Below are 13,217 nucleotides of genomic sequence, written 5' to 3' on the forward strand. Positions count from 1 at the left end.
CTCTGGAAAGTTTTTTGGTGTCCTGTGTCAGGTAGTACCATTCAGCAGACATTCATTCCCCCACCCCTTGAATTCTTTTGCAATAAGTTTGCATTCATGGGGCTCTTATAACTCTTCCAGCACCACAGACTCCAATGGCTGTTGATTAAATGTATATATCCTGTGCATTTAATCTGACTTTCATTATGGCCACTTCATAAAACCGCCACAGACTGGACAAGCGATGACACATAGCAAGAACCTGGAATCCCTGCAAAGTCTCAGATTAGTTTTTTTTTTCTCCTTCTTTATTAATAGTGACCATTCTGTGGCCTAGCTCTAAATCAGCAAAAGTATTTGACAGCAAATGTTCCTATCTATGGATTATATATAACCCGTCCTAAACACCAGATGAAAAAGGGATAACCCCGGGAAAGGAAGGGCTTGCTTCCATGTAAATCATGTTACAAATTGGACAACACCCAGAGAGTTCATTGTTCAACCTCAATTGTGAAGGCCATTCCCATTTACTATCCCCCTGGAATCGATGTTAATTAAGGCAGGCTGAGACCATAAATCAGCTTGGGAGTTTTACAATGTAATTCAGCATTAAGCATATATATTTAAATAAAAAGTAACTGATTAACCACTAGAGTTTTTCCAGAAGTTGCTGAGGCCATTTCTTTATAATAGAGACATGTCACCTTTCATTTTTGTGAAGAGAGGAAAGAAATATTGTCTTCTAAAAAGGTGAGTTAGGGCTAGTTAAGTGACTCACAACATTGATTATTAAGAGGAAGGGAGGAGCTGAAAAGAGAAAAGAAGAGAACAAAAAGGGAGGGGAGTCACATGCAAAAGGAGAGGAAGTTGGCATGTTTGTCCTAGCTCCCTAGAAGTCATTAATTCTTCCTTTATTTGCAATCATTTCTTAGTCACCTATTATATGGTAGGCACTGTGCTAGGCATTGGAAGATATAAAAAAGTAAATGATAATCAGCCCCCTGCCCTTGAAATAAGTGTTCAGTACTGTGGTGGGGGAAATCAACAGTCACGGTTCTAATAATAAAATTTGGGAACAACATTCACAAGCACTTATTGAATACCTACTATGAATATGCTCCAAAGATAATATATTTTATATTCTAATTGTATAAAATATCAGAGAGGCAATTTGTGTGTCTTAAAGAATTCCAGCCAAAGCAACCACACCTGCCTGACAGAAGCCAACAGAACACCTCTCTGCATATTCTGACGAAGTGGCCTTCATCAAAGAAAGCACTGGCTCTCTGAATCCACAGCTGAAGAGGCAGAATTGTTTGATAAGTACATTCTTTCTCAAGAGCTGTGCTAATAGAACACGTTTACTCAGGTCCAACTATACGATGAATCATAAAACAACCTGCAGACAGATAATCTAGGGAGCAGAATTTCCTCTAACCCAAAGTACATGGATAACACACATTCAGTAAGTAATTCAGATACAACGAACGTTATGAGGGGCCCACTATGTACTGTGAACTTTCACCATTTCATTTCATCTAGATAACAAATCTACGATGTAGGCATTATTTCCTGTCTAAAGGAATAAGCTAAAGTTTATGATGTAAATCCAAGTTCACACCACAAATAATTGACAGGGCAAAAAACTTGAACCTTTCCTCTCAACATCTATGGCTGTTCCCCGTCTCCTCTGCTAAGATGTAACTTTAAATTAAAGATCTATATTCTATTAGGCCAAAGGTAGTAGAAATAATATAAATAAGAAACTTACTATAAAGTCAGAATTGAAAACCAAATTGAGCAAGAGAATAATAATAAATGTTAACATTTGCGTGCTTACTATTTACAGGCTCTAGACACTTTTTACACATATTAACTCATTTAATCTTCACATCCACCATATGAAGTAGGCAGTCATGTTTGTCCTGTTTATAGATTAGGAAAGTCAGGCACAAAAACTAAAATGAACTTCCCCCCAGTTAGGAACACAGTAGAGGAGGGTTCAAAATCTAAATAGTCTAGCACCTTAACCTCAGTCCTAGATACTAGTATGTGAAACAGGGTGGTGCCCTGGAGCAACTTCCTTCATGCCGCATGACCTTCAAGTGGCCATCTGTACCATTTCAAAATAAATTAATCAAATGTGTTTCTTTCCAAAGGGTTAGATTCCTTTATAATCTGATCCCAAACAATCTCTCCAGTCTCATCTCTGGACACTCATCACCAAGTATCTATGCCTGCATAACATTTATACAACACCACCATTTATGTAAATAAAACATATAGAGAAAAAATAACACTGTGTTTTCCATCAATAATATGTCCATATCTAAATATAGATTGGAGTGAAAACCTGTGGGGGAAACCAGAGAATTTGCACAGACCAGTGTGTTACATGCGCCATAAAATGAGGAGCATGATAACTTAAAATCTGTGGATCTAAGTCTCTCCCTCGCTTAGTTCATTCAAGCTTCTATAACAAAATACCATCAACTTTGTGGCTTACAAACAACAGAAACTTATTTCTCATAGTCCTGGAAGCCGGGAATTTCTAGATCAAGGCACTGGCAGATTCAGTGTCTGGTGAGGGCCCACTTTTTGGTTCATAGATGGTGCATTCTTGCCATTTCCTCACATGGTAGAATGGACAAGCTAGCTCTCTCAGGCCTCTTTTACAAGGACACTAATCCCACTCATGAGGGCTCTGCCCTCATGACCTAATCAATTCCCAAAGTTCTCATCTCCTAATACTATCACCTTTGTATAGGAGTCCTCCTTTATCCATGGGGGATATGTTCCAAAACTCCCAGTGGATGCCTGAAACCGCAGACAGTAACAAACTACTGGTATAGTAATACATACTATGTTTTTCTCCTATACATACATACCTAGGATCAAGTTTAGTTTGTAAATAGGAACAGTAAGAGATTAACAACTAGTAATGAAGTGAACTCCAACACCATATCGTAGTAAGTTATGTAAACGTGATGTCTCTCAAAATATCTTACCATACTGTACTCACCTGACTGTGGAAAGCAAAACCATGAATGGGGTGGAGGGACTACTGTATTAGGATTTGAACATATGATTTTTGGCGAGACACAAACATTCAGACTGTAGAAGTCCCAACCCCCTCTCAAATCCTATATTAAAACTACCAATTTCTAAACATGACATGAACTTTTGTGAGTCAGGATATTTGAACATACTGTTTCCTGCCTTCTTTAATTGACAGGACAGTAAAATCTTAGTCATCTTTCAAAACTGAGTTCATATACGACCTCTTGATAAAGCCTTCCTAAATCCCTTCATACAGAGCTAACTGCAGGTCCTCTGACATATACCTACCTATCATACTGTCCTGTAATACTTTACCTAAACCCTCCACTGTATTGCTTGCTCCTTAAGAACAAATACTATGCCACTACGTCATCTTTACTTTTGTATAACCAACATCTACATAAGGAACAGTAAAATAGTAGATGCCCAATAAATGTTTCCTAAGTATTGATATTACATAAGAAGCAAGTATGAATTAAAAACGTACATTGTTTCTTCCAGCTAAAAGCAAAACAATGTATGTTTTGGATTCCAGGAGTCAAGTTTCTTGAAATCCTAGAATCACTTTCATCTCATGTCCCAGAAAAGCTGTCTCTCAATCTACAGTGAATACCATCTCATTTATATTGTAGGCTTCCTACATTTTTCTTGTCTGAATTGAAGTTAAGACAAATAGTTTTCATCCAGAACATGATTCTAGATAAAGACACTGTGGTCACCAAGACTATGGACGTATTTACTAAAATACCAGTGCCACTGGTATCCTGCTAAAGCCCTTGCAAATGAAGGTGGTTCACAAGGAACTGCTTTTCTCTGGGGCACTGGATCATAACACTGGAGTTCTCCTGAGTGACTTGAAGTCTGAAAGGCCAAATTGAATTGCAGTCTTCTCACCTGGCCACTATCAATGATGTCATTTTATAGTTTGTTATTTAAACTGACTGTGCATTAGGGGCTTATTTATAAGGGGATACCCTTATAAAAGTCTTATTTTCTTCTACAGCACAGGAGGAGGAGGAAAAGGAAGAGGTGAAGTTGCTTGTGTTTTAGTCCTGGTTTCATGCTAAGTATGTGGCAAGTCACTCAGCTTCTCTAGCCCTCAATTTCTTTGTCTATGAGGGTACCAGACCTGGTGACTGAAGGAAGGCTAACCATGGCACTTATGATACAAATCTTGTTTCCAGGCTCTTGACAAACATTAATAATGAATCATGACACTTTCCAGCTAGACTTTTCTGAATACTTTTCAATACGGCACTTCAGAAAGCTACTATCAATCTAATGGAAGATGTCATTTGTTATTAAATCTATTGCCATCCCTTACAACCCTTGAGTTCTAATATTCTGTACATCTGGGTTAGTGGATATAGAACACATGTGGCCACCAGTGGGCGCTCAATAAGAAAGTGTATCAGAAGTTCTGTGATAACATAGGTTTGATTTGTTCCTTCTCTAAAGAGTGTATGTTAACATTTCATAGCCATTTGAATAACAGAATCTCCATGACTGCTGCAGAGTATGCCCTCTGTGTTCTCAAATGTGACTGCCTTCTTTTCCAATTATGTCTAATATTTTAACACACAATGAATATACTACAAAGACATCATTTGAAACGGTGAGATTCAGGTGGAAAAGAGTCCTACAACAGACATTTTTAAACCTATGCCAAGTCATCACCAAGAACAGCTGGAAACCCTCCCTCCCTGCCAAAAAACGGTTTTTGTTTCCTGTTGTGAAATTATTCAGTACACCAAGATCATACTTTAACAGCCAAGTCCTATTAAAGCACTATTTTAAAATGCTCTAATGAATGAGAATCTTTTTCTCGGTCTAAACATAGTAGAGGCTCCTTTGGTTAGGAAGAGACAGATTCACAGAGCTGTACAGGGTCTTAGATATAATCTCTGCAAATCCAAGTGTTAGATAAATAAACTTGTCAAAAGAAGTCCAATGGCTTGACCAAGGCCACATACCCCGGATTTGTGGCAGAATAAAGAACGAACCCCCCATATCCTGATTCCCACCTCAGTGCTTTTTCTAAACTTAATTTTTGCTGATGTCTATTTGAAAAGAGGACTTGATGGCTGACCAGATCCGAGTGATCTTTGCTGCATCTCTATCATGATGCTTCTTTTTTATTTAAGTTCTGGGATACATGTATAGAATGTGTGCGTTTGTTACCTAGGTATACATGTGCCATGGTGGTTTGCTGCACCTATCAACCTGTCATCTAGGTTTTAAACCCTGTGCACATTAGGTATTTGTCCTAATGCTCTCCCTCTCCTGCCCCCACCCACCGACATGCCCCAGTGTGTGATGTTCCCCTCCCTGTGTCCACGGGTTCTCATTGTTCAACTCCCATTTATGAGTGAGAACATCCAGTGTGTGGTTTTCTATTCCTGTATCATGATGCTTCTTAGACACTGTTCAGCACAAGGAATTCTGTTTGAGTCCTTTTACTTCAGCACAATCAACACAGGTGCCAGTAAAATAATTTTTCATTTTCTTTCCCGAAAGCAAAATATGTTAGGGAAACTGTTGATTTATATTCCTAATGAAACACTACTTAGAGATGAGGTCCTGGGACACTGTCTGCAGTCTTCCCAGGTGCAGAAGCAGAAACTTCTGCCAGAGGACAGTCAACAACCAGACTATTACAATCCTCAAATAGAAAATTATTTTCCTAGGCATATTAAGGAATAGCTTTGTGCTCTTCCAACCAACAGGACTAAATTTGAGGATTCAGGAAGAGGACCTCAAAACCAATCCTTATCATAATTACTTCCCAGAGGAGGGCCGGTTTTGGATGAGCAGAGGGAAAAGGGAATGGCCAAGCTAACTGATTTAGGAGCTGGTTACAATTTCATGGCAACAAAGTGAGTCCTTTTTCATATGTTCCCTTCTCTGTAGAATCTCGGTATCCCAGACTGAAAAAGAAAAGCATATCAAATGCCAAAGTCTTTATAAAATGGTCACTGCTCAAAGGGCTAATATCCAGAATCTACAAACAACTTCAACAAATCTACAAGAAAAAAACAAACAACCCCATTAAAAAGTGGGCAAAGCATATGAACAGAGACTTCTCGAAAGAAGACATTTATGCAGCCAACAAACATATGAAAAAATGCTCATCATTGGTCATTAGAGAAATGCAAATCAAAGCCACAGAGAGATACTATCTCACACCAGTTAGAACGGCAATCATTAAAAAGTCAGGAAACAATAGATGCTGGAGAGGAGGTGGAGAAACAGGAGCACTTTTACACTGTTGGTTGGAGTGTAAATTAGTTCAACCACTGTGGGAGACAGTGTGTCGACTCCTCAAGGATCTAGAACTAGAAATACCGTTTCACCCAGTGATCCCATTACTGGGTATATACCCAAAGGATTATAAATCATGCTACTATAAAGACACACGCACACGTATGTTTATTGCGGCACTATTCACAATAGCAAAGACTTGGAACCAACCCAAATGTCCATCAATGATAGACTGGATAAAGAAAATGTGAAACATATACACCATGGAATACTATGCAGCCATAAAAAAGGATGAGTTCATGTCCTTTGCAGGGACATGGATGAAGCTGGAAACCATCAATCTCAGCAAACTAACACAAGAACAGAAAACCAAACACCGCATATTCTCACTCATAAGCAGGAACTGAACAATGAGAACACGTGGACACAGGATGGGGAACACCACACACCCGGACCTGTCAGGGGATGGGGGGCTAAGTATGGTACGTGTATACCTATGTAACAAAAATGCATGTTCTGCACGTGTACCCTAGAACTTAAAGTATAATTAAAAAAGAATATGGTCACTGCTGTTTGGCCCACAATTTCTTCTTCCACCTAAGGGAATTAAAATAAAAATTCATAATGGTACTTTATTAGAGACACTCCACACATGCATTTGAAAAAAATCTGTTAAGTACAATTTCCTTTTGTCAATATTTCAAAGCGTCTTAGATTCTGGGCACCATGGCAGGAAATGTCATATATTTTCTTATCTCAGCAATTTCACCTTCCTAGTAGAATGCTTTTAAGAACTCTAATAAGGACAATACTCCCTGCAACAAAGGCTTTCTGCCAATAAGAAATGTCCCTTCCCAAACCACAAAGGAATAGATATCTCACGGTCTCCAAGGAAGGTAGTCTGACATGTGAATGGTGCAGATGGTTGTATTCCTGTGTTAAAACAGTAAAGATCATAAAGTTTGGCTTTTTGAAAGCCAATTAAAAGTGACTACGCTGGTTTATACAATTTTACTTTTCAAAAGAGAGCATCAGGATAGCAAGGTAACAAGCAAGTCTGTTCCCCCAAGACAGGTGTAGAGTTGCTTAATTTATTCATGCTTGATGGTTGAATGTTACAAGGGTCATATCTATGTATGTAAAACAAAGTAAAGAAAAATCAAGAAATTCGTTAAAGATTGAGGTGATTAATCTTGTATGTATTCCTTCATCTTCCTCATAGAACAACCTAGAATGGGGGAGGTAGAGTTGAAAGATCTCCATTTTAATGCCAGTCTGCCTTTTGCCACTTGTGTAAATCCTGAGCAAGCTATTAAACTCTCTGAGCTTTGTTTCCTCCTCCGTAAAAACAGAAATAAGACCTGTCTGCCTTACAGAGCTATTGCACAATTAGTGAGATAAAATGTGAAATGTGCCTGAAGTATAGCTGGTTAAAATGGGAGTTTCTCTCTTCCCTAAGTTCTTGAAGAAAGGTCTGCTGGCTTCATTTGGTTTCCCCCACATCTTAACAGCACTTAAAATGCAGTAGGTGCTCAAAGGATATAGTAAATCATGTTTCTAGAAAAAGTAGTGGGGCTGGGATAAGGAATTAAGATTGGCTGTCAACAGCATCGGATTCTTCTAAAAGTTGCTTTAAGTTGCTGTATACATCTCAACAGTTAGCTGGATAAAGATTCAAAACAGTGAAACTTACTAGCCATACAGCCTGCCTTGCTTGGCCACTTTTGCAACAGGAAAACAAGAGAGGACAAACTAGGCTTATCGCACTTGTCAGCCCACAGCAAAATGGCCATAACTATATAGGCAGGCTGCCATGGATTTTCTAATTGGGGAATCTAAAGCCTGAGGAATTCTCAAAGCAGCAGGTATTGATAGGAGTTAGGTGTAAATAATTTCCTATCCTCAGTGAATCTTTGACATAAAGCTGCCATGTTTTATTTCAGTAATAAAACGTTTTGTTTTTTTAATAGTAAATGCTTCAAATGATTTGTATTAAACTCTGCAGTAGATTGTACCTTGGAGAGTTAAATTTTACTCAACTTGCCATTAAACTGTTTTCATTCCTCATAAGAGAGTACCAGACAGCAAATCAATATCCAGATTGATTTATATGAAAAAGTTTAGTTAAACAATATAAGGAAGTAGTTTGAGGACTTAATGGTAGTTATCTCCTTTTACATGATTGTCCCACTGTTTCTACTTTAAAGAGATTTAAGAACAACCAAAAAAATGGCAGCGCTATCATTTACCTATAAAAAACTGTATTGATGATCATCTCAGTATGGCACTCTGTAAGGCTGGTGTCCTTTAAACATTATAATCAAAGGTAATATTTTTAACTTTGAAAAAAATTAGCCCCAACTTTTTTTACTTCTAATTAAGAGTCTACCTATACAGAGTAAAACAATAAGGCAAGTGCTCAGATCATTTAGAGAGGGGGAAAAAACTTCTTCCTGAAATGGTTATATAGTTAGAACAAGAGTGGTTCTGTTGACTTCCATTATTCATTCGCTTTGCTTCACGCCAAAACATCTGGCTAAAAAGTGAAAAAAACACCCAAATGGCATTGTATAGAAAAAACACCTAGATGATTGATTGCATTTTTCACTTTAAAGTCAATGTTTTGATATTATAGGGACATGGGCTTTGTTCAGTAAGTGTAATATTTTACTAGCAAAAAGCATGGTTTTAGAAAGCTTGCTTTGAGAAGGACTAATTTATCAATTATAATTTTAAATCAATTAACAGTTTTAAATAATGGACCCAATATTGCAGGCCCTGAACCCCACTTATGCTGAGTCCTAAGCTGAAAGTCAGGAAAAAGGAAAAGTCTTCACTAGAAAAGGCTGCTAACTAGACTGCTCAAGTATTCAGACAGTACAAGGTCAAAAAAAATGTAAAACTAAAGGTAACATTTTAAAACAGCTTTAAAATACTAATAGAAAGTGATTGTGCCAGAGTAAGCAGCTGGGTATTTTAAATTAAGTGTTGTATGCCCAACACATTGTACTGATGTTCAATGATTACACAAACTGTGTTAATGCTGTAAATGGAAATAACTTAGGACATTAACAGTTAGGTAGCCAAGATCCACCTAGCTTCTCACATATCCATCTAACCTCAAGGTCTGCTTCTGAAAGTGAAAGGACACAGATGAGACTACAGAGACAAAAGGTCACTAGTCGTGTTCCCCAGAGGACAGTTTGGTCAGCCTTTGATGGACAAGGCCGGATCCAAATGAATTGAGAAGGGAAGTATGGATGGGGGATCTGCCCCTTTCCCAGAATGATGCTGCTTGAGATATTCAGTGTTATTTTGGGTCATTCAGATTAAAGGGTCCAGGGGAATTACGGTGACCTATGATGCAGACCTAGTGTTCCATTTGACTCAGGATTCCATGGGTTACAGCAGGATACTCCCACAACAGATCTAAAATGTCCAATTTTCCCAGTCTCCCTTAATCAAATGACAGGTATGACTAACACCTGAGCTGAGTCTCATGGAGGTCTTCTTGGACTCTATTTTTTAAATGTTTAAAATCTTAATACTCTGTTAAGGTATAATAATAAGCTGTATGTATCTGATGAGTTTTAGCATATGTACACCCATCCCCACAGTCAAGATAATGAATATATCCATTCCCCACCCCACCCCACAAATTTCCTTGTTTCCCTTTGTAATCCCTCCCTCTTACCCACCCTGACCCTCACATTCCAAACAACCACTGATCTGCTTTCTGGCACTATAGATTATTTTGCCTTTTCTAGAATTTCATATGAATGGAATCACATAGTAAGTACCCTTTTCTGTTCTTTCACTCAGCGTATTTTACAATTTATCCATGTTGTTGAATGTATCTTGTGGTTTGGTTCTTTTCACTGCTGAAGAGTATTCCATGTTAGGAATATACCAAATCTTCTTTAACCACAGAAATTTGATGAAGGTGTCCTAAGATCCAGTTGTGCCTCTATTCCTCTCGCATGATTTCTTTATGGGTCATATTCCTACGTGTACAAAGATTGCTAGATGGTGTGACTTAGATGTGTCATTTAAACTTTCTGTGGCTCAATTTTCTCATTTGTACAATAAGATAATAAAAACCATTTATTGAGTGGTTGTAAGGATTAAATAAGATATTGGATTACTGAAAAGCCTAACATAGTATGCACTGAGACTTTTTATTCATTCTGATTCTGAATATAAGCAATCAATTCAAGGCAATTTATGAGTACTCTTAAAAAGCTAGTCACTCCTTGTTCTGTCTGAGTATTCGTTCACTTACTCTCTGTTGCTACTAAGACCACTTTGCTAAACCAGCAGAGACAGATAGGGTGGGGAAAGAGGTAAAGATGGTGAAGGCCATCCAACACATTAACTGGTCTCCCCAAATGTCTGATCACTACCCACTTCTGACACTGCCATAGAGACAGGCTAATGCAGGCTGGTTCAAACATGGTAAGGCTACCTGGCCTGTAGAGGGTCTGAACAGCGGTGTGGGAAATGTACTTTGAGAGAAGAAAACTCAAGAGAAATGGCTTTTATGTACCCCCCTGTCTTGAAAACTGAGAATGTAACATGATTTCTTTTTGTCTTCTGTTTGGAAACAAATGTTCCTCTGCCTATCTTCCCTAGGTTCAATTAGTCTTCTGTCTTTCTCAGAATTCAGCCTGTTCATTTGCAAATGGAAGACTTCAGAAAGGCTAGTGGGTGTGAGTGTGGGTCTTGAGGGGGAAGGGGGCTGAAGTGTTTATTTTCAAAGCCACGGGGGTCCCCATTTGAAAAAGCACCCAGCTTATCTCAATGTTTTTGTTTGTATGATTTTGAATTAGAAGGTTGGAGCAATTCATTTAGGAGATTAAGCTGTTTTTACAATGGGCTTAGTTGCCCTATTTATTCAATAGTATTGCTAGGGTTAAAAAAAAAAAGTCTTTCTACTGTGCTCTTCATTATTCCAGTGTACCAGTTTTAAAGAATTCCTTGGTTTTTGCTTTTAATGCCAGTTAATTTTACATTAAAATGATGTTTATTAACTGGTCACAGATAAAAATCACCAATGATTTCTCTAACAGTTTAGAGCTGCCCGTTTTAGCAAATAAAAGTATAATTAAATATGAATTTCAGAAAAACAGTAAATAAAATTTCAGTTTAAGTATGGGAAATCATAGGGTATACTGATACTAAAAAACTAATTCATTATTTACTTAATCTTCAAATTTCACTAAAAATCATTTATTTTATCTGACAATCCCACCATGTTTTCATGGATGTTGTATGTGTTCCAAGAATGGTAAGTGAAAACTAAGACAAATTCCATTTCATTATTGCACTTAGACTTGCTCCCTGCACAGGCAAAGTACTTCATCAACCGGAATATTAATTTCCAGTTTATAAACAGATAAAGTGATAATTCAACAAATCAAGTGAATTTGATACACAGGTTAAGACCTAGTTCTAGTCACTAAAGCCTATTTCAACTAAGGAAATTTTTCTCATCACAAAAAAAGTAAAACCAAAAGTAGCAACTAGCATCTTCAGTTGAATTAGAAGTTAATGTCTCAAACCACTATGTTTAAATGTGAATATCATCTTTCATTTATGCTGCAAAGCAAACATCTATGCAAGGAAGGGCTCGAACACCTCAATGCATATCCTAAGGTTGAAGAAGGCTTTGAACCAATAAATGAGTGATTTCTCCACAGGAGACTAAACATTTGCTTGTGACGGTAAACAAAATGCTGAATTTTATGTAGCACAATCATTTTTACATATCTGTTGATATAAGTAGTTAAAGAAGAATTATTGAATTTTTTTCTGTCAAATGAAAAGGTTTGCACTTGACTCAGATCTTAGCAAATAATCGTATTTAAAGAATTAAATTATTCCTTAAATGTGATGCTTCCTCTTACCCCAGGAACTGGATTATAATATTATTTGCAGTAAGTCATTCCTAAAGGACCCTGACTTAAACTGTGATGATAAACTAATAAGCCTAATTGTGCATAATTTATAGAGTTCATTTTAAAATCACATCTAACATTTTGAGAAATTTTTGTACATCTTAAACTTAATTTTCTCTTTTTATTTATTTATTTTTTTAGATAGGCAACTTCCCAGAAAAGAAAAAAAGAGGAAAGGAGACAAATGAAAAGCTCAAATTTGGTCAAGATCCCTATTTGCCATTTAAACACAACATTAGAAAACTCTTGCTAGGACTACATTTTGAAATAAACCTCATGTTGGAGGTCAGTTCTGCTAAGAAATACCACTGAAAGCTGCCACTTGACCCGGAATTCCTCTACAAGAAAAACTAGCCATAACTACATGAGAGGCCTATATGAGAAACTGCCAGAATGTCAACTTCATTTGCAGTGGCCCCATATGGCCTGATCACTCTCCCTGGCATGATAAATCACTGGCAGAATTCTTACCTTCCTACGTTTGATCTCTGCTCAGCAAGATGTGGTTTTGATGTGAAGAACTCCAGATCTCTTAGGTCAGAGACAAATAGCAGTGGCACTGACCTGCAAAGTGCTAAGTCTCTATTAGACTCAAGTGAAAAGCTGTAAGCTTCTGACAAGTTCCCTTGCCACCACGCTTCCTCACCCTCCATGGTTTTCATGAGCTTAGCTTGGCAGGAAAGCTGCTCAAATGGTCTGGAGGAGAAATGACAACAAATATTTTCTGCCTACTACTATTACAAAGTATTAAAATCAATTTTCACCAAGACTCAAAGGAGGAAGTCTCTTGGGAGTCACTGCTCTAATTTCTAATATGGTAAGTCCTTAGCAAATATGAAACATTTTGATTTCCGCTGGATCTTTATGACACTGCTAGCCACTCATTTATATAACGAGAATCATTAACAGGGATTTCTGTGGACTACTCTTTGGTAACCATGAGTACATTGTTGAGACAGT

The 13,217-nt window shown here is 37.6% G+C and overlaps 1 protein-coding gene across 3 annotated transcripts in view, besides 1 other annotated feature; it reads right to left on the reverse strand.

Moving 5' to 3' along the window:
• ALDH1A2 (aldehyde dehydrogenase 1 family member A2) overlaps positions 1-13,217 on the reverse strand; it is a 112,283-nt gene that overhangs the window by 85,554 nt on the left and 13,512 nt on the right. The gene's annotated exons all lie outside the window — the stretch shown is intronic.
• Positions 10,654-11,331: an enhancer, noted in NCBI's record as "NANOG hESC enhancer chr15:58341834-58342511 (GRCh37/hg19 assembly coordinates)". NCBI's record gives its function as "activates a minimal SCP1, AML or CMV promoter by ChIP-STARR-seq in primed H9 embryonic stem cells {active_cell/tissue: H9 hESC(primed)}" and the evidence as "EXISTENCE:reporter gene assay evidence [ECO:0000049][PMID:30033119]".

This window comes from Homo sapiens, chromosome 15 (assembly GCF_000001405.40).
Source record: "Homo sapiens chromosome 15, GRCh38.p14 Primary Assembly".
NCBI classification, from domain to species: domain Eukaryota; kingdom Metazoa; phylum Chordata; class Mammalia; order Primates; family Hominidae; genus Homo; species Homo sapiens.